This window comes from Homo sapiens, chromosome 1 (assembly GCF_000001405.40).
Source record: "Homo sapiens chromosome 1, GRCh38.p14 Primary Assembly".
Lineage (NCBI taxonomy): Eukaryota > Metazoa > Chordata > Mammalia > Primates > Hominidae > Homo > Homo sapiens.
Genome location: NC_000001.11, coordinates 61,455,114 through 61,477,303, shown reverse-complemented (window position 1 = coordinate 61,477,303; position 22,190 = coordinate 61,455,114). Strand labels below are relative to the sequence as shown.

The 22,190-nt window shown below is 41.8% G+C and overlaps 1 protein-coding gene across 4 annotated transcripts in view; it reads right to left on the bottom strand.

The window, feature by feature from the left end:
* The window catches only part of NFIA (nuclear factor I A), a 385,562-nt gene continuing 377,887 nt past the window's right edge, over positions 14,516 to 22,190 (bottom strand). For all 4 annotated transcript variants that reach the window (NM_001145511.2, NM_001145512.2, NM_001134673.4 and 1 more), the window contains one exon: positions 14,516 to 22,001. In NM_001145511.2, coding sequence (NP_001138983.1) covers positions 21,984 to 22,001 — 18 coding nt within the window. In that variant the 3' untranslated portion in view covers positions 14,516 to 21,983. The remainder of the gene's footprint in view (positions 22,002 to 22,190) is intronic.

Sequence of the window (22,190 nt, the reverse complement as noted above, 5' to 3'; positions counted from 1 at the left end):
CTCAAGCCATCCTACATCACCCTGCTCAGGCTGTGAATTATCCCTTTGTCCAGCAGATCCACACAGTGGATGCTACCCACCCATTACTGTACAGGAAAAAACATAGTGTCTGTAGGGGTCGGTACTCTCCGTGGTCTCAGGCATCCACGGTGGGATGAGGGGTGTCTTGGAATCCATTCTCCATGGATAAGGGGGGACTACTGTATTACCTCTGTGATAGTTCATGTTTGTCAGCTTGACTGGATCACAGGATGCTCAGGTACCTGGTTAAACAGGATTCCTGGCTGTGTCTGTGGGGGTGTTTCCAGAAGAGAAACAGTTTACGTTTGAACTGTAAAGTTAGTAAAGCAGACGGCCCTCCCTAACGTGGGTGGATATGATCTGATCCATTGAGGGTCCGTTGAGGGTAGTATAATAGCATGAGGGCAGAGGAGGGGTGAATTAGCTATCTTCCTGACGGCTTGAACCGGGACATCCATTTTCTCTCGTCCCTGGCACTCCTGGTTTTCAGACCCTCAGACTTGGACTGGAATCTCCACCATCAGCCTCTGGCTCTCAGGCCGTTGAACTACACCACCAGCTTTCCTGGGTCTCTGCTTGCAGACGGTAGATGGTAGGACATCTTAGCCTCCATAATTGCATGAGCCCATACCTTATCTCTTTCCAGATACAAATACATATATTTATCCTCTTGATTCTGTTTCTCTGGAGAACCCTGACTAATACAACCTCTCAGCTCCAAACACCACTGTTAAGTCCAGATCCTGTGTATTTTCCATCCCAGGAGATGATGAGGCTCAATTCACTCAAGGGGACAATGGGCCAAGAGTAGGAATCTCTGACTTCCTTTTGCTGTGCTGAGGGCACATCCCTGGCTCTCTGTGGAATCACTGAGGATTTGCCCTGACTGAACATGTAGGGGGCTCCTGAAGGATCAGGACTTCCCCCACACAGTGTAACAGGCATGGGTGTGTGTCCTCAGGGGTCATGTTCTCCCCTCACCCACTGAATGCCCCCCACACTCTGAAAATGGTGCTAAGGTAACCAACAATTCAGTTGATGGTTCATGTACTGGCCACTCACTCCCAAAGGACAAAACTTTCTTTAAAAGTTTAGCCTATTCCCGTGGTGTTAACGTTATTCAGAGCTTTTCTTAATTATTCTGAAAGCACTGAAGGATTGTGAGGTGTCCACAAGTCCTAATTGTGAGCATTTTGGGGTGCAAGTATTCAGTAATATTAGTTGATAGCAACTCTTTGTGTAAATACATTTTACTCAGCTTTTGAGGCTCAGAGGTGAGCCCTCAGGGTGCACGCTTTTCATTTGAGTGACTAATTTTTCTGTGTCTTATAGTTTCTTCTTTTATTGAATGGGACTCCTAGTTTCTATCCTACTGGAAGGATTAAATGATTAAATGAGATGACCCCGTGACACAAGTAAAGCACCCTCTCTAGTGCTGACTGTTGGGTTTCAGGGCTGGACATCTAAATGATGTAGGAATGAGAAGGGGCTGATACATCAGCCATGTATGCTTTTGTAGGAATAGGCTGAAATCCCATGTGATTGAGTTTACTAATCTAGGAATGAGAATAAAACAAAGTGTATGAAATTAGAGAACACTTTAATAATCCAGGTAAATGCTTTAAAACAAACAACTGGGATTGTGTGTGTGGTGTGTGTGTGCATGCACATGCACTCACACACACATGTGCATGCATGTGAATGTGTGTGTGTACATCAAGATTTAGGGGAGACATTTTTGAATTTTAGTACAATTTGTTTTAAAGCAATGGTCTGTAGGCTATGAGGTTTATCAGATTCTAGGTTTTACTACTGTTCCTGGTTCATGGCTGGCTCAGTTCAAGTCCATTGGAAGCCCAGTTAGGTAGAGATTGCTGAAGAGAAGAAGGAGAGTATAATAGGCTGAATCACGTCATATGTTGAATTCCCAGTGCCTCTGAAGGTATTTGGAGATAAGACATATAAAGAGGTGGTTAAGTTAAAATGAGGCTGTTGTGGGGCAGGGGCTAATTCCACTGGTGTACTTATAAAAAGACATTTGGACACAAAGAAAGACACCAGAGACACCAGGGATTTGCAGGCAGAGAAAAAAGGTCACGTGAGGACTCAGAGAGAAGGCAGCCATCTGCAAGCCAAGGAGAGAGGCCCCAGAAGAAAGCAAACCTACAACACCTTGACCTTGGACTTCCAGCCTGTGGCCTTCCAGAACTGTGAATAAATACACTTCTGTGTCGAAGCCACCCAGTCTGTAGTATTTTGTTATGAAAGCCCGAGCAGACAAATACAGAAAGAGAAGGCAGAGCTGAGAGGAACTGCCTGCAGATTTCTGTTCACAGAGTGGCAGCCTTTGTCAGGGCTGGTTAATAGCAGCAAACCGGCACCCTCCAGAATTCAGGGTTTGGATAACAGGAAGAGGATAAATCTCCAATAAGTTAAAAGTAAATTGAAAAAGAAGAATTCACCATCACTTCTGTCAGGAACCCATTCCAGCCATTTTTTTTTTTTTCCCAGAGATTTTGGCTCCATCTTTCCCTTCTGCCTCGGATAAACCTTTCAAACACATTCATGTAAATGTTAGTTACAGTGTAGGGTTCTCCTAGAACGTCCAGGTTGACTGCTTGAGACTAGCATGTGCAGATTGTCTGCCTTCATTGATCTGCACTTCAGAGCCGGAGAAGGGCGAGGATGATTTAATGCCTATTTTCAAAGAATGAAGGATCTTTTTTCAGCTCTTGCCAAGGAACAGACAAAGGAAACAGGCTTCACCTGTAACACAAGGGGTTCCTGTTAGACAGGAGGGAGATTTATCAGGCAAGGAGACTGAAGACACATGAGTGAGTTATGGTATCTCCTTACCTGGAGATCTTCAGAGTAAGATGTACTTCCCTCTGACAGGAGCAGTCAGGGTGGGGGTGGGGGTGGGATTCCCAGCTGGAGGCAGAGAAATGGACTTCAGTGACCTTTGAAGGTTGAGTCCAGCCTTCTGAGTCAAGGATAAACTAAGATGGGAAAATTTATGGTTTTGACATCTATCATGTGAATAAATCTGAGCCTCTGCTGGAGTTTCAGGAGAAAGAAGATTCCGGAAGTCTGCTCTGGCTTGATCTCTCTATCAGTCAGGGTTCCAGCGGGAAACAGATGGCACATACAGCTCAAGATGGTTTGAGAGGGGTTTAATACAGAGACTTTTTACAAAAGCGTGGACAAGATGTAGGGAGAATACAAAGGATAGAGCAGTACCCCCAGAGCTTTTACTACCCCACGCCTGAAGGAATGAGAGAGAGAGCAGTTACTAGAAAGTAGAAGGAGAAATTCGGGTCCAGAGAATCTTGAGAGGAGCTGTGACCTTCTGTTGAGGAATGCCACCAGCCAGAGGGGAACCAGAGGGAGCCAGGGAAATACGATGAGTCTTTAAAAAGTTCATGGAAAATGTGTATTAGGAAAAAACTATGCTTGATTTTCAAAATGTTTACACCAAAATAAACTCATACTAACTTGTTATAACATGACTGAATAGGATCTAGTTTGAGGCACTAAGAAGGATAAGACATCGATTTGAAAAGAGCCCCTATCAGAGCAGCATGAATTCTGCTAAAATGAAAGCAAGAAGAAACAATGTATGGTGAAGCTTGGATGGAAGAATGGTGAGATCATTGATGCATCACAAAAAGCTTATGGGAACAATGCCTCCCAACAATCAGCAGTCTAGGCCAAGCATGGTGGCTCACTCCTGTAATCCCAGCACTTTGGGAGGCTAAGGTGGGCAGATCACTTGAGGTCAGGAGTTCAAGACCAGACTGGCCAACATGGCAAAAGCCCATCTCTACTAAAAATACAAAAATTAGCTGGGCGTGTGGTGCACACCTGTAATCTCAGCTACTCAGGTGGCTGAGACATGAGAATTGTCTAAACCCGGGAGGCAGAGGTTGCAGTGAGCCGGGATTGTGCCACTGCACTCCAGCCAGGGTGACAGAGCAAGACCCTGTCTCTAAGAAAAAGAAATCAGCAGGCTGCAAATGGATAACTCATTTTAAGAAGGAAAGAAACGATGTTGAAGATGAAGCCCACAGTGGCTGACTGTCCACATCAATTTCTGAGGAAAAAAATTAACCCAGTTCATGCTCTAAATGAGGAGGACCAATGATTAACAGCACAAAAATAGCCGACCTCACAGACATCTCAACTGGTTCAGCTTACACAATTCTCCGAGTGAAAAATTAAAGTTGAGTCACCCATTCCATTCAATGGGTGCCAAAACCCTTGTGCCCAGATCAGCTGCAGACAAGAGCAGAGCTTTCAATGGAAATTTTAAACAAGTGGGATGAAGGTTCTGAAGCACATCTTTGAAGAACTGCAACAGGAGATAAGACACAGCTTTACCAGTATGATCCTGAAGACAAAGCACAATCAAAGCAATGGCTACCAACAGGTGGAAGTGTGCCAGGCACCGTGAATCACACCTGTAATCCCAGCACTTTGGGAGGCTGAGGTGGAGGATCACTTGGGTCCAGAAGTTTGAGACCAGCCTAGGCGACATAGCAAGACTCCATCTCTACAGAAAATAGAAAAAATTAGCCAGGTGTGGTGGTATGCTCTTGTAGTCCCAGGTATTCAGGAGGCTGAGGTAGGAGGATTGCTTAAGCCCAGGGAGCAGAAGCTTCAGTCACCTGTGATCATGCCACTGTACTCTGGCCTGGGGAACAGAATGAGACCTTGTCTCTCAAAAAAAAAAAAAAGTAAAGAAGTAGAAGTGGTCTAGTCAAAGCAAAACTGTTCTAGTCAAGAGCAAAGGTCATGGCAATGGTTTTTTGGGGATGCTCAAGGCATTTTGCTTATTGACTTTCTGGAGAGACAAAGAACAATAACATCTACTTACTATGAGAGTGGAGAAAGTTAACCAAAGTGTTCACAGAAAAATGCTCAGGAAAGCTTCACCAGAGAGGCCTTTTCCAGCACAACAGTGCTCCTGCTCATTCCTCTCCTCAAACGGGGCAAACTTTGTGAGAGTTTCAGTGGGATATCATTGGGCATCCACATCACGGTCCTGCTTTGACTCTTTCTGACTTCCTTTTGTTTCCTAATCTTAAAAAAATATTTAAAGGGCACCCATTTTTGTCCTGTTAATAATGTAAGAAAGACTGCACTGACATGGTTAAATTCCTGGGACCCTCAGTTCTCAAGGGATGGACTAAATGACTGCGATCATCCCTCACAAAGATGTCTTGAAATTTATGAAGCTCACGTTGAGAAACAAAGTTTGTATTTTAAAACAATTATTTTATCTTTTTTTGCAGCCTCCGCCTCCTGGGTTCAAGTGATTCTTCTGCCTCAGCCTCCCGAGTAGTTGGGATTATAGGTGCCCGCCACAACGCCTGGCTAATTTTTGTATTTTTAGTAGAGACAGGGTTTCACCATGTTGGTCAGGCTGGTCTCGAACTCGTGACCTCAAGTGATCTGCCCGCCTCGGCCTCCCAAAGTGCTGAGATTACAGGCATGAGCCACCGCACCCAGCCAAAAATTATTTTATCTTTTTAACATGACCCCCAGGAAAGCATTATTTTTATCTTTTAACTCCATTTCTCCAGGAACTTTCTGTAGTCCCTGCATAAATACCCTGACATCACTCTCCTCCAATCCACCATTCTGTCAGCGCTTCCAATCTGCTGATCTCAATTGAAAGCTCTAGGTCAGAGAAGCCCACTGATGTGGTCCACACAGGTCAGTCTTCCGAGCAGAGAGGATTTTGGAGAAGATTGGAGAGTGCATCTGGAGGGGCACACAGGATAATAGGATGCTCATCCCCTCACAGTATAGAGTGTATTTTATATGCCAAGCACTGTTCTGGGCATTGGGAAGAGGGCGGTCAACCAGACTTCATTTTGGAACAAATTGTGATTTACACATGTCAGGCACTACACCCCTTAAGCCTCTGAGTGTTTGCATTTTAAGGTCATACACAGGTAGCTATTAAGAAGGGAAGAAACACTACTGAAACTGTGCCTCAGTATCCTCATCTGTAAAATAGGGATAACAATGGTGTCTCTGCCACTGGGTTGGATTATATGTGCAAGTGTGTGGGAAGCACTTAGAATAACACACGGTGTGAAGTGAAGGGTTCACTCAGTGCATGTGGCTGTTGTTACTATTAGTGTCATTAGTATCTTCCAGCCAATCTCTTGAACTCTTCCTCATCCTTGAACTCCTAGACTGTGTATCTCCTCCCTGTAGCCTCCAGGGGCTCCCTGTAGAGCCCCTGCTCCTCCCTCTTCTCTCTTCCTTGGGCATGATTGGTTCCCAGATTACCTGGCCCATGATGTCTTCGTGGTTTTTGCAAGGCTGTGGCGTGATTATTCGGTTTGCATGTCTGCTTCCTCTACTAGATTCCATTCTTCTGGGATGATCTCAAATTCATCTCCTTCGCTAACCCCAAGTTCTGGCACATGGGAGCTACTCAATGATGTTTGTTGTGTTTGTTTTGAATGACTTTACAGAATGAGCTTTTGTAGTTTCATAGAAAAGAGTTGGCCCATGTCAGGGTTCAGAGCCATGGTGGTGGAAGTGGAAGCAGCAAGTGAGCTAGAGATGAAGTGATCTTAGAGCCTTCAAGAATCTAGCCCCACTGCTTCCACACAGCCTGACCAGGGAATTCTTTCTTCCCTGGCTAGCAACTGACTTCTGGTCCCCAAGAGCACATATTCTCAAAGGAAAGAAGCCTATTGAACAAGGAGGCATGAACAGAAACACTTTATTTTTATTTTTATTTTATTTATTTATTTTTTTGAGATGGAGTTACTCTCTTGTTGCTCAGGCTGGAGTGCAATGGCGTGATCTTGGCTCACTCTAACCTCTGCCTCCCAGGTTCAAGCGATTCTCCTGCCTCAGCCTCCTGAGTAGCTGGGATTATAGGCATGCACCACCATGCCCAGCTAATTTTGTATTTTTAGTAGAGAAAGGGGTTTCTCCATGTTGGTTAGACTGGTCTAGAACTCCCGACCTCAGGTGATCTGCCTGCCTCGGCCTCCCAAAGTGCTGGGACTACAGACGTGAGCCACCGTGCCTGGCCTATTTTTATTTTTTGAGACGGAGTTTCCCTCTTGTTGCCCAGGCTAGAGTGCAATGGCATGATCTCCACTCACTGCAACCTCCACCTCCTGGGTTCGAGCGATTCTCCAGCCTCAGCCTCCCAATTAGCTGGGATTACAGGCGCCCACCACCACACCTGGCTAATTTTTTTTTTTTTTTTTTTTTTTAGTAGATACGGAGTTTCACCATGTTGGACAGGCTGGTCTTCAACTCCGTCACCTCAGGTCATCTGCCTGACTTGGCCTCCCAAAGTGCTGGGATTACAGGCGTGAGCCACTGTGCCCAGTCCAGACAGACTTTAATCTTGAGTTTTCAACCAGAATTATTCATCTTCCCTGTTAAGGTGGAAATAGTTTTTTTGTCTGTTTTTTTGTTTGTTTGTTTTTGTTTTTAATATCAGTAGAAGCTGACAAAGGACAGGGTCCTTTGTCATTCAGTAGGCCCTCCCTTAGCCTTCGCTTTCCCTGTTAGATGAAACAATACAAAACAAAACAAAAATCAGCAGCATAGAACTGTCCTGAAGCAGCTTGCCCTTTGGGCCAGTTATTTGCCCACAGTTTCCAGAGAGTCAGGACACAAACCCAAGGGCAAGTCCCTTAGTCCTTCCCATGATTTATCTGTGAAACAGTCTTGGGATTTCATCCCATAGGGTCAACTTCCAAGGTCAGGAATATGCTTCCAATTTTATGGTAGAACATGCTGAATTGTGTATGCCACATTGATATAATCCACCAAATCCTGTGAAAAACTCTTCAGGACAAATGACCCAGTTTCTCAAGCAAATTGTTACAAGGAAAATACCAGAGAGGGAAGGAGACCCTACAGTTATAAAGACTTAAGGCATATACAAACCATTTAGTGAATGTTTCTTATTTGGACAAACTATTTTTAAAAAATTATAAGATAGGAGTTTTTGAACAGACTGGTTATTCAGTGATATTAAGAAATTATTGTTACTATTTTGAGGTATAAAATGGTATTTTGAGTACGTCTTATAAAAGAATTCTTGTCTTTTAGAGATATAGTCTAAAAATTTGGGGACGAAATGAAATTTATGGATACCTGATATTTGTTTTAAAATAACCTGGGGGTGGTCAGTCAGGAAGTGGCTGGGGTGTAAACGGGGGAGCCATTGATTACAAGTGATGGACGATAGGTACATATTAATTTGTTCATCAATCTCTTTAATTTGTACATGCATGATATTGTTCCATAATAAAAAATTTAATGTGATAGTAGAGATAAATGTGCTTTTTATTTGTTTTACCAGGTTTCCTATAAAAAGACTTAAAATCCATACTGAGTGTGCCAGATGGAAAGCAAATTTACAATGGCCTAATGTGTTTCAGAGATGAACCAGAAGGTATTTCATTCCTCATAAGTCAAGGGAAGCCCTGCTTCTCCGCCAGTGGGATCTTTACTATTTAGCCATGTTCTTTTACCAAAGAGGCAGAACGTGGATGGTTAAAATGATGACTGGTGCCAGTCTCTTGGCCTCCTTTCCTTGCCTGTTAAGAGTGGATTTCCCGGCCGGGCGCGGTGGCTCACGCCTGTAATCCCAGCACTTTGGGAGGCCGAGGCAAGTAGATCACGAGGTCAGGAGATCGAGACCATCCTGGCTAACACGGTGAAACCCTGTCTCTACTAAAAATACAAAAAAATAGCTGGGTGTGGTGGCGGGCGCCTGTAATCCCAGCTACTTGGGAGGCTGAGGCAGGAGAAGGGCGTGCACCCAGGAGGCGGAGCTTGCAGTGAGCCGAGATCGCACCATTGCACTCCAGCCTGGGCGACAGAGCGACACTCCGTCTCAAAACAAACAAACAAAAAAAAAAAAAAAAAAAAAAAAAGAGTGGATTTCCCTGGCAGTCAGAATACCGTTAAGGAAAATACAAACCAGAGCCAGGTGAGGCCATCTCTCTGGGTTCCATCCAATCTAGTCTGGTGCCCGATGCTTGGAATTGTGCTTCTCAGCACATTCTCATCCATGTTCATTGAGCCATTCGGACTTCTCTCTTGAGGGAGGCAGAGATTGCTGCGTTCATTTTACCGGTGAAGAAACTGAGACTCCGAGGTGCAGTAACTTGCTTAGTGTTATGTGGCCAGTAAGTGGTGGAAGTGGGACTCAAAATCCAGTCCTCTAGTTTCAAGCCAGGCTCCTTTCCACTATACAATACTGCCCTCCAGGGTGCCAGGGTTCTTCTCCTTGGAGAGGCACCAGACTAATAGTTGTTATGTGGTTGATACTGCGCTGGGTGTTTTACATGCATTAATTTCATTTAACCCTTTTAATGACCTTATAAGGTAGTTACTATCCTTATTCCCATTTTACATATAGGGAAATTGAGGCCCTTAATATTGCAGAACTAATAAAATGACAAACCAAGACTTAAGCCCAGTGTGTCTGGTCTCAGATCCTGGATTCATTTTTTTTCCTTTCATATTTCTATTAACTCTTAAAAATATTTTGAGTTAGCCAGTATGGTGGCTCACGCCTGTAATCCCAGCTGAGGTGGGTGGATTGCCCGAGGTCAGGTGTTCCAGACCAGTCTGGACAACATAGTGAAACCCTGTCTCCACTAAAAATACAAAAAATTAGTTGGGTGTGGTGGTGGGCACCTGCAATCCCAGCTACTAGGGAGGCTGAGGCTGGAGAATGGCTTGAACCTGGGAGGCAGAGTTTGCAGTGAGCCGAGATTGCGCCATTGGCGCCATTGCACTCCAGCCTGGGCAACAAGAGTGAAACTCCATCTAAATATATATATATATTTAGATATATCTATATCTATATCTATCATCTATCATCTGTCTATCTATCTATCTATCTATCATCTATCTATACATATCTTGGTTTGTCATTTTATTAGTTACATATAGGGCCTCAATTTCCCTATATGTAAAATGGGAATAAGGATAGTAACTACCTTATAAGGTCATTAAAAGGGTTAAATGAAATTAATGCATGTAAAACACCCAGCGCAGTATCAACCACATAACAACTATTACTCTGGTGCCTCTCCAAGGAGAAGAACCCTGGCACCCTGGAGGGCAGTATTGTATAGTGGAAAGGAGCCTGGCTTGAAACTAGAGGACTGGATTGTGAGTCCCACTTCCACCACTTACTGGCCACATAACACTAAGCAAGTTACTGCACCTCGGAGTCTCAGTTTCCTCACTGGTAAAATGAACGCAGCAATCTCTGCCGCCCTCAAGAGAGAAGTCCGAATGGCTCAATGAACATGGATGAGAATGTGCTGGGAAGCACAGTTCCAAGCATCGGGCACCAGACTAGATTGGATGGAACCCAGAGAGATGGCCTCACCTGGCTCTGGTTCGTATTTTCCTTAACGGTATTCTGACTGCCAGGGAAATCCACTCTTTTTTTTTTTTTTTTTTTTGAGACGGAGTGTCGCTCTGTCGCCCAGGCTGGAGTGCAATGGTGCGAGATATATATATATATATATGTGTGTGTGTGTGTGTGTGTGTATATATATATATATGTATATATATGTATATATATATGTATATATATATACACACATACATTTTTAAGTTTTGGCTGGGTGCAGTGGTTCACGCCTATAATCCTGGCGGGCACTTTGGGAGGCTGAAGTGGGCAGATCACTTGGGGCCAGAAGTTCAAGACCAGCCTGGGCAACATGGCAAAACCCCAACTCTACTAAAAATATAAAAAATAGCTGGGCATGGTGGCGCACACCTGTAATCTCAGCTACTCAGGAGGCTGATGCACAAGGATCAAGAATTGCTTGAAACCAGGAGGTGGAGGCTGCAATGAGCCAAGACTGTGCCACTGTACTTCAGCCTGGGCAACAGAGTAAGATTCCATCTCAAAAAATTCTTTTAAGTTTTAAATTGATACATAATAATCATATATATTTATGGGGTACATGTGTTCTTTCAATGAATGTATACAATGTGTAATGATAAAATCAGGCTAATTGAAATATCGATCACCTCCAATGTTGATCATTTCTTTGTGTTGGGAACATTCAAAACCCTCTCTTCTAGCTATTTTGATATGTACAATATATTATTGTTAGCTACATATATCCTACTACGCTATAAGAACACTATAACTTATTTATCCTAAGTGTAATTTTGTACCCATTAGCCAACTTGTTATCCTGCACACACCGCTTTTCCTGCCTCTGGTCACCACTGTTCTACTCTCTACAAGATCAACTTTTGCTTTCACATGAGTGAGAACATGCAGTATTTGCCTTTTTGCGCCTGGCTTATTTCACTTAACGATAATGTCCCCTGGGCTCATCCATGTTGCTGCAAATGGCAGAATTTCATTCTTTTATGGCTGAATAATATTCCATTGTGGATATATACCACATTTTCTTTATTCCTGGACTAATTTTGTATGCTACTTCCTCCTACTTAGTTGAGGCAGGTGTTAGATGAAAGGTTTCAGAATTCCCCCAAATAGAGGCCTGAAAATGATCAGGAAGAGGAAGAAGGTTTATGCCAATGGTGCACTGAAAGAATGCCTTATGTCTACATTTTGGAATCATTTGTTGAGTTAGTTACAGCATTCACATAGCATTTACAATATGCCAAGCCACTGTTAACCACTTTACAAAATTTAACTCATCAAAAATCTACATCAGCCCTATGAAGTAGTTCGGTGCTGTTATAATTATTCCCATCTTACCAATGGGGAAACTGAGGCACTTGCCAACACCACAGAGCTAATAAAATGCAGAGCCAGGATTCAACCCAGGCTGACTGGGTCTGAGTCCATCGTTTTGATCACTGCATTACCTTCCCTTTGAGCCCAGTATTACACACCACTTGTCATAGAGTATGTCAATAAAGGGGTGGTGTCGGCTGACTTTCATTCCAATTTCTTAATCCCAAATACTCAAGACTGAAATAAGGTAGTGACTGATTTGGTCTAACTTAAACTCTAAGGCATGTACATGTGAAATTGCTCTATTCACTTGAGTCAGCAATGTGTTTTGAGGACTGACTATACCTTTCTGAGAGCTACAATAAGAGAGAACATATTCAATTTAATGGGATAAATCACCTATAGCACTTGGCACATGAAAGAGCTCAATATGCAGTGGCTATTAATACCCGTATTAATCTCTCGCATCTATCCACTTCTCTTACATTCTATCATGGGCACCACAGCCTGGGAGTCTGTCATCTCTTCCATTGCTGCAGTAGCTTTCTTTGGCAGCCCTCTCCACTCAGGTCCTACTTCTCTCTCCTCTCTTAACTAGGCTGCAGTAATGTTCTCTAAGCCTTCCGCGGGGAAGGATTATCCTTCTAGGTCCTGTCAAACCCAGGCATGGCCTGGTGACTTGTTCTGGCCAGTGAAATGTGAGCGGAGTGGCGTGTGTCAATTCCAGTTGGAATATTAAAAGCCAGCTATGTGCCTTGCTGACACATCCAGCAGTGGTCCAGATGGTAGCTACTTTTCACCCTGGGTCCCGGAATGAGATCCTGTGAAGAGGCCTCAGGCAACCTTTGATAGACATGTAAAATCGGTGGTAAACCTTTATTGTTGCGAGCCACTGAGATTTTGGACTTGTTTGTATGACAGCACAGACCTAGTCTAATCTGATTGATACATGTTTTATAAAGCTCTTAGAAGGTAGGACAAACCTGCCTGCAAGGTCCCACAATGTCTTCACCTAAATATCAAGCTTCATTTCGTACTGCATTTCTTCTCCGTTTCTCTCTTCATCCAAACAAGCCTTCTTCTATCCCCTCACAGGTGCCGAGCTCCATTTGACTCAGGTTCTTTGTACATGCTGGTTTTTCTGCGCAGAATATTTTCTTCCCTCTTTTGCCTGGTTAATTTCTACCTATCATACTAGTCTCATTAGGCTTTCATGGCAATGTATATCCTTTTTTAAACAAATTTATTTTGAGACAGGGTCTCGCTCTGTCACTCAGGCTGGAGTGCAGTGGCACGATCGTGGCTCACTGCAGCCTCGATCTCCCAGGTTCAAGCCATCCTCCCACCTCAGCCTCCCAAGTAGCTGGGACCACAGATGCACACCACCATGCTCAGCCAATTTTTAAATTTTTAAATTTTTGGTAGAGATGGGGGTCTCCCTGTGTTACCCAGGCTGGTCTCGAACTCTTGAGCTCATGGCATCCTCCTGCAACAATGTATAACATTTATGGCACATGTCACAACCACATGCTTACCTCTGCTGCTGTTCAAACATTATTTGAATGTTTCGTTTGTCCACTAGAATGCATACTCTATCAGCATAGATGCCCAATCTTTACTATTTCTAGCCCCTGGCATGGTCTCTGGTACATAGTAGGCACTCAATAAGTATTTATTGAATAAATAATTAATAGAGTCAATATATTGCAGTGATTATAGGATGGAGGTTGGGGCCGGATTTCTTGGATTCAAATCCCCCTTTGTCAATTACACACCATATGGCCTTGGGTAAATTATTTAATCTCCCTCTGCCTTGGTTTCCTCATCTATAAAAGGATAAAAGCAGTACCTCTCTCCCAGGGTGGCTGTGAGGTTTGAATGGACTGAGATATGTCTGCTGTTATTTATGTATCGTCTTGTCTCCAAGCTGTCTCATCTATATTCTGCTTCGTGGGGTTGGGGCTGATATTTTTCTCATTACCTTTTCCAGACTCCCTTGCCTGACGGCTACCATTAGGTCCAGCCCAGGGGAGACACAGGCAGGAGCCTAGGAGGAGGAGGAGGAAGAGGGCGAAGGGATTTCTTTCTGGTTTCAGTTTCTGTCCACAATGCCACCGCAGCAGAGAACAGCTGCACCTGCAGCCTCCAGCTCCTTTGGGCACTCTGGCACCAGCCACACCTCACCTCCTCAGAAAGTACTAATCTCCCCTTCATTCTCTGCAGTGATTCTAGCACCAGCACCCCATGTCTTCTCAGAGGTCTGGCCACTGGCCATGTGCTGTCCCCACCTTTGTGGTGACCACCTCCCTCAGAAAAGACCCAAATATCAGCTGTGTGGTGTCCCTCCTTGAGTGCCTAGGTTCTGGTAAGCCCACCTTTCCCTTCGGTTTCCCCAGCTCCAGGGGTAGTGGCTGTATCCTGCAGTTACTAATACCTAGGCAACTTTACAGCCCCTGTTGGAAAACCCATTGAATCTTATTCCTGATTCCCGATTGGGCCCCAACTGATACAATCTATACAGCACTCAGAACAATATCAGGCACACAGTAAACACTATGTGAGTGTCAAATCCTGTATTTGTCCAAGTAGGTGAAAAAAGTAACACTGCCCATCAGAACACAGCCAAGGATGCTATGTGCCTGACAAACCCCATGGTGCATAAAGACCATCTTCTGTGGGAGCCTCCAGTCCACACCCGTGACTGTCACTCAATCACCCAGGCATGCTGTAAAGCAAATGATGACACAGCTTCCATAGCATTAGCAATTTTTTATTTTTCCTTTTTTGTTGCATAGGAAATGCAGTACTTGCTTCCAGTAATTGTATTGTAATGTGAGAAGGTGGTAGCACTAATGGTTGAATACAAGAGTTAAACTAATCCACACCAGCTCAAAAAACCTGTGGAGATTTAGTTGAATAAGAATGGACGCCCACAGTGATTCTCAACCAATTACAAATTTTCACAGAACACAGTAAAACTAAAAGGGTAACTATGAGAGTCAATACAAGTATACTAGAGGCACAGGGGGCCCGGCTCATAAAAACAGATTTCAGACCAAGTTATTAACACGGGGGGTGTTTCGTTTCATAACAGATCTCTTACCATCACTGGAAGTGTTCCATCCCCTCCCCCTACAATTTGAAATGGAAAACAGAGGTATTCCGAGTGGACAGATTTCCATGTGTGGTGGGAAAAGTCCCCAGTGAATTTTGCTCTGGTGAGAGGGCAGGGCTAAGGGTGGGGCGGGGGATCAGGGATTTGCCTTTGAGAGTCTTCCTAAAGGACCTCCTAGAACCTGATAAAGCTCCTAGTCTAGGTCTAGTTAGTATCTCAGTGGCGAGGCTACCAAATGCCTTCGCAGTGCAGAGACGATGGTCTGAGACCAGGGAGAAGGCACCGAGCCGTTAGTTCTCTCAAGCCTCTGTCCCAGCGGAGCTAGCGGCCTTATGACCTTCGGTTGCAATGTCAAAAGAAAAAAAAACAAACAAAAAAAAAAGCCAAAAAAAAAAAAAAAAAACCCAAAAAGGCTAACTTACAGACTATTATCAAAAAATAAAAATTTAAAAAATAAGAACAACACAAATAAGTCAAAGGAAAAATAAAAGCTTTTTTCATTTTGAGAAGTTGAGTATAAAAACAGCAGGAAAAATGGCCCAATACATTGGACACTATTTGTCCTTGAAACCACTGCAGAGATACAAAAGTTCACATTGTATGACCTGGTGGGTGTCTTCCACCATGAAGGTGCTCTGGTTAGATTAGAGGTAGCACTTCCACTGTATGCTCTTGTGGTTCAGACACATTTTGGGAAAGTTTATTTTTCTGAATCAAATAGGCGAATGCATCTACATGTAAAACTCAGGATACCAGGCACACAGATGAGGTCCCACCCCCACACACTGTCTCCCTGTTCTCACGACCAGCTGTGGGTGGTCCCCCTTATCTTTCTAAGCATTTCCGCTATCTGCTCCCCACATACCATCCCCCTAATCTGGGAAAGGTAACTCTTTGGGGAATAAAAGGCAGATGGGTGCTGGTTTAGGGAAAAAAATGAGATGAAATTTATTTAATTTGGGAAGCAAGTAATTTCAAATTTAGACCAAAAAAAGTATATTAAAAAAATCCCGTGTTAATAGCAAACTTCTTTTTCTTATGAATCGGGCCCAAAGTTTGTACAGAGTTTTATTTTTGAAGAAAATATTGCAACTGTGCATGAAACTAAATAGCCATGTGATTTCTTACATTTTTTTTCTTATTTTTCCTTTTAATATGAGGAGGTCTGGTGTGAAGACAGATCAAGCATGGGTACCTGGCTTGAACATTGTCCATTAAGAAAATGTATCAGTCTCCGCATAGCATCAGTCAAGGGTCAAGGAAAATGCCCCTGACTTGCAAATGTTCTCAGAGTGTCTTCGCAGCACAGTTCTTGAAATTCAAATAGTCGTTTTGAGACAAAAATCTCGCCAGGTACTGATTTCTGAAATCAAACACCCATGCTTGTCCCCTAGGAAAAAGAAAACAAAAAACAAAAACAAAAACAAAACACGAGTAATACTGAATTTAAGTAAATGTATACCTCCAAAATACTGAAAACAGCCGAAATCAAGAAAAGACAGAATTTGCGTTCTCAGTGAAATACCTTTAAACCTAGCTGACAAGAACCAAGTCGGAAAAAAAGACTAACATAACTTTGAGTAATATTCATACAGTTCACTAAGCATTATGGAATCGCATGCATTAATATTGTACGGTTATTTTACATCACCTATACCAGAAGGTCCTGACTGACAGACAGCGAAGGCTACCGGTGTAGAAAAATCTTACTTCAGAAGAGCAATATAATACAGATTTCACAGGCACTACATTTTAATATATCAGGTATTATGCTGGTTTTCTTATAATTCTTTCTGTCCTAAAGCTGGCATTATAACAATGACCAAAAAGGCAAGGATTGAAGTAAACGGAAAGTAGATACCAAAGTTGATATAGTTTTTTTCTTCAGATAGATTAGTGCATAGTTCTCATGCAGATAAACACTGCTATGCATTTACACTGTTGGAAAGCAGAGTGAATTGAGCCCAAGTTGTCACATTTGTGTAAATCATTTTGTCAGCCTATAATAGCACCATGTAATGGATTTGCATTAAACATTAAATTGATTTCAAAATTGGTGACACAGTATTCACTACAGTTAAGTGCTATGGAATAGCTTCAATGTTACCTGCTATATATCAAAGCAATTTTCATCCCACTGCTTTTTTATTGGAAAAAATAAAAGGAAAACATACACGACGCTAATTAGACGAATGCACAGCCTTGGACGTGGAGAAGGCAGAGCGGGTTTACTGTCAAACAGTAAATACATGCATTGACTTCAAGACAGAATTGGCCTTGGAAGCCTTTTTGAATGAAAGCTGAGCCGGTGGGCAGTGCAGCTTTCTGAGACTGTCTTTGGACAGATCTCGAAGGGTGGGTTTTGAGGTGCCACTGAAGCTCTCCTTACATTACTATGGTGGTTGTGTTTTAGATTTGTTCTATGGAGGCCTGCTACCAGAAATAAAAAAGAAAAGAAAGAATGAAGACAAGAAAGAAAACAGAAGCAAACAAAAAGAGAGAGAGAGAGAGAGACTCCACCACCACTATGGACAAAGATATTTCTAGAGACATGATGCAAAGTACATTAAATGACATTCTTAGAATCCCTTTCCCCTAAAAAACAAAAAAAATTCATAGAAAAAAAAGGTTTTTCCTTATCCAGGTTTTGTCAGTCCTTTATGCCACTGTAACTACAGGATTCAAAGCTTATGGGGCTAAGGGCTTGGAAAAAATCAAAGACAAACTTTTGGAGATGGGTCTTGCATATTCCTGTGGGCTGACTGAACACCGTGGCTCGGGGAAGTCTGGGTTCCTTCACACTTTGACTGTCAGAAAATGAAGATCACAAGCTCTGGGAGGTGTAACCTTGTCGGCCTGCCTAGAGCCCACACCTGGCGGCGGCAGGGACGGGCCTGGGGAGCGGGCTGACCACACGTAACTGTCATGCCAGGGTGTGAAGACACAGAACATCAGTTCAAACCTCAGAGGAAAGAGAAGGCTCTCTAGCATGGAGAGCGTGGCATTACTGGGAGGCCCTCTGCGCACGAATGATCAGAAAAGGGGCGTTTTGCTGGCAGGGACAAGGGCCAGAAGAAAAAGTCTACAGAAAAATGCTAAGAGTTAGTGTTCGTGCCTCTGACTTCAGTTCCCAAAGAAAAAACAAACAAACAAACAAACAAAAAACACAGAAATTTGAGGGACTCATCTTTGCCCAATCTTGTTAATGCCATTTGATGGGAAAGAAAAAATTCAAATGTGTCTCAGAGTCAAGGGCTGGGCCTTCAAATGCTGATAGCTCTCAGTCTGTCTGTCTACACACCCCAGGTAGCAAAGTCTTCCTCAAGCATCTTCACTATGCTTTTAAGCTAAAAAGCAAAAACACTGGCAACTGTTGGTGTTTCTTTTTTCCTGCTTGATCACAACTGAATAGTTTCCTGCTGCTTTCTGGACAATGAAACATGAACAAAAATGTAACTTCGTGTATTTAATACTTAACCCCTGTTCGTTATCACCCTAGACTGCCTCCCTAATGTTTTAAAGCCTTTAAAACATTTTTTCCTGCAAATCTGTTCAGAGTTCCCTAATTTTAGCTTCATCAAACTTAATACAACAAAATACCTTCAAAAATACAGCATACCTGTAACGTCCATTTACAATGGTTTTTCAGTAGACCTATACTTCTCAAGCATAGGAATATGCTATACCATTGAGAGAAAAAAATAATTGTATTTAAATACTTACAAAAAAAAAAAAAAAAAGGAAACAGGAAAGTTTTAAACTTAAATCCAGTTCCCAAAGGGGGGGTAAAAAGAAAGAAAAGCAATTCTATGAACGCTGCCTTTATAATGAACGATCAGAAATTTTACTAGGCTAATTTGACAGAAATTTTTCCTCATTTAAACAACATTACAAAAGTCCTGCATTATAAAATAGGGTAGAATAAATCAGTGTAATCAATAAAACTATACAACAATACAAATTACATATCTTCTGAGCGGGCAGTTTATTCTCTCTCTTTGCAGTCATGACTACAACATGCTCACTAAAAACAACTAAAACTGCCCAAACTATTGCTTAGTTTGTTTTGTTTAAAAAAGGGTGCAATTTTATTGTATATACAACCAATTTACTGGTAATACCTTGGCTTATTGCAAGGTTCTGACAAAATGTTTGTCTAGGCTTTTTTCCCTTCACTGTGAAGCACTGAAAGCTGCTATTTTTTCTTTTTTTTTTTCTTTTTTTCCTTTTTTTCATTTTTTAGTGCACATATGTCATAATAAAGTAATGCCCAGCTAAGTGCTATAGGGGAAGGCAAAGTATGCTGGCTGGCTATAGGAAGTGACACCATACACTGACAATCACACCATACAACAGCGCCAAACGACTATTCAACCACTTATCAGACACATATGAAAATCCAAAATGTTTTATTTTATTTTTTTTTCCTTAAATAGAGATAACCAGTAAACAATTTTCAGAACTTGGAAGTTTAAAAACGTGCATATAAAAATGGGCATTATATACTTTTTATTGAATGTGGATTGACTGCAGTCTGCTAAGAAAAATGGGGTGTGGGAGCTGAAGAAAAAGGAAGTTGTCTTTTTTTTTTTTAAGGCTTGCTTGTGAAAGGAACAGTTGTAAAAACAAAATTGCTTGAAGCAGGGTCAGCTTAGTGCTTCACAGTTTGACTGCTTCTCTAAGAGGAGCCCTTCCTGCGCACGTGCATTCAAAAATCACAAAAAAGTACAAAGACAAACACCTAAAACACACTGCGTCAAGTGCAGCACCGACTTTGGTCAAATAAAAAAAAATAAAAGAAAAATTAATAATTGCTAAGCTTTTCTACATGATATAAGCAGGTATTGCATATTTTCATATATCTGGGGGAAAATAAAGGAAGACTCCAAATAAATTGTAAAATGCAGCAACATCCAAAATACTGATATTCTAAGCATCTACAGATCTCAGAATAGCACTGCCACCGACCGTACAGGACAATAAAGACTACTCCTATCTGCGGAACAACTAGCTTTCTATTTAGTTCTAGATGTTGAAACTGACGATGGCTGACATAAAAGTCACATTTACAAAAAGTGTCTCCAAATGCTTGACTAGGGAAAAACCCCTTTCAATAGAGGAGCATGTGCAACAATTCCACAAATAATCGCTATCCAGGGCAAGGCACATTGATATGGAATTTTTGTTTTCGTGCAAATTAAGGAAAAAAAACAAAACAAAACAACATTGTTTCGGGGAGAAAGATGAGGAGCAAAGTGTCTTCCCAAGAATTTCAGTTACTTGATTGTATAGGACAGTAGTAGAACCCTTCTGAAGGGCTGAAAAACATAGTTTAAAGGCAAGTGCCTAGAGTAGGGATTACAATATTGTGTCTTAATGCACTCTACTTTATCCTACATTAACTATATAAAAATTAGTTACTAACACTAGAACATGCAGAGACTTTCTCTGATCAGCAGGGCTTGCCAACCAGAACGTATATATATGTATAGTATAGGAAACCTTCTTGAAGTCGCATGGGAAGCAAAGGGGTGCTTCGCTGTCTGGTAGAAAAATCACTTGCACTTTTTTTTGTTTTTGTTTCTGTGGTTTTTTGTGTTTTTTTTTTGTTTTTGTTTTTTGTTTTTTTTTTCATAAGATACAGGACGTTTGGGGGTGCAAACTTTTTTTTTTTTCCCTAACAAGTACCCTTGATCTGAATGGGCACCAGCATTTGTGTCAGTATTGGTTTCATCATTATTATTATTATTATTATTACTATTATTATTTCCCATAGCCCAGTTCAGGGATGCAAAGGTCTTTAAAACTTCTGGACAATCTCTGGTACAATGAGGTGTCTGATAACTGATAAATCCTATGATGCCAGATAGGTGTAAAATTTTTTAGAATTGGCGTAATCCATTATAGTGACTTCTAGCTTATAAAATTAACAGATACCATGATTTCATTTTAGTCATGTGCTTTGATAACAGAAAATAATTAATTAGCATTTAATGTAGTTAACATATTGTGGTAAAAGCACCATTAGATTTGTTTTTTTGTTTTTTTTTTTTAATTTCCTTCAGTTTTTAAAGGGATACAAGTTTAACAATAAAAAACATAAAAAGCAAAAATAGCTCCCCTTTTTCTTGCAAGGCTGTTTTTTACCCCAATAATTTAGAGTCCTGGGGTGAAAGGACTAGAAAAACAAAAATAGAATTTTCAACAATCTCTATCTTACAAAGATATTTAGCTATCCAATGAAATTGCACTTTACTCAATTCAAAATTCGATTGTTTTGATTGATTCCTGTCAGTTTCTGTCAAAACAGACCATCTTCCCCATTTCCATGTGAATTTTTGTGTCATTGTTGAAATTGTTGAAAAAATGTTGTTGTTGTTTTTTTAAATGTAAGTGCAGCATTTCAAAACTTTTAAAAAACTGAACAGTAGTAGTAGTAGTTTGCCATTTTCGGAATTGTTCTGCAATGTGAGTGGATTCATTGTCCTTGCGGGCCATGTTATATACTTAACTGCTGACTGCTGAACCAAAACAAACTAAAGGAACAAATAAAAAAGGAATATAACTGCATTTTCTTTTTCCAATATGTTACAGAAAAACATTGCCCTTTGACTGTCCCGTTATATATTGCAGATCTCAGCTACTACAAAAGATTTAGTTCTCCATGTGCCTCCTCAATGCTCAAGGAGGATCACACCTGTGTGGGTAAATTCATGAAATACTGTGAAACAGCCAGGCTCCGTAAGGAAAGTGTGTTACAACAGGAAGTCAGTGAGCAAGGGTAGTCCTCCGCTAGCCACGTCACCTAATGCTCACGCTACCATGGAAACACTTCAAATGTTACAAAGCCCAACCATTTCCAGCACCATATGAGAAATTACAACAGTCCCTAAAGTATTTTAAAAAAAAAAAAATCCCAAAAGGTTATGGCCTTTGCTGTTTGACCATAATGCTTGCTGTTTCCATGTACAAGTTGATTTGAATCGGTTTTTCTCCCCTTCCGCTGATAGTGAAGTTGTAACTGCGCTGGGTTGAGGTTGCGTCCATGTTACAGAGTTGAGAAGGGGTCAGGTGGTCTGTCTGGTGGATGGTGGGACGCTGCAACTTTTATCCCAGGTACCAGGACTGGAAGACAAAAGGAAAAATACAATTAAAATCACAATTTGTAAAAACGTGTGTTTTAGAAGTTGCCTTTTCAACCACGAAATCAGGATCTACGTTAGGGATGCGGGAGGGATTCGCTGGGAAAAGTAAAGGCACGACAGACAATAAAAAATCCTGTGACACTGAAACTGATCTTATTCTTCTGAAATT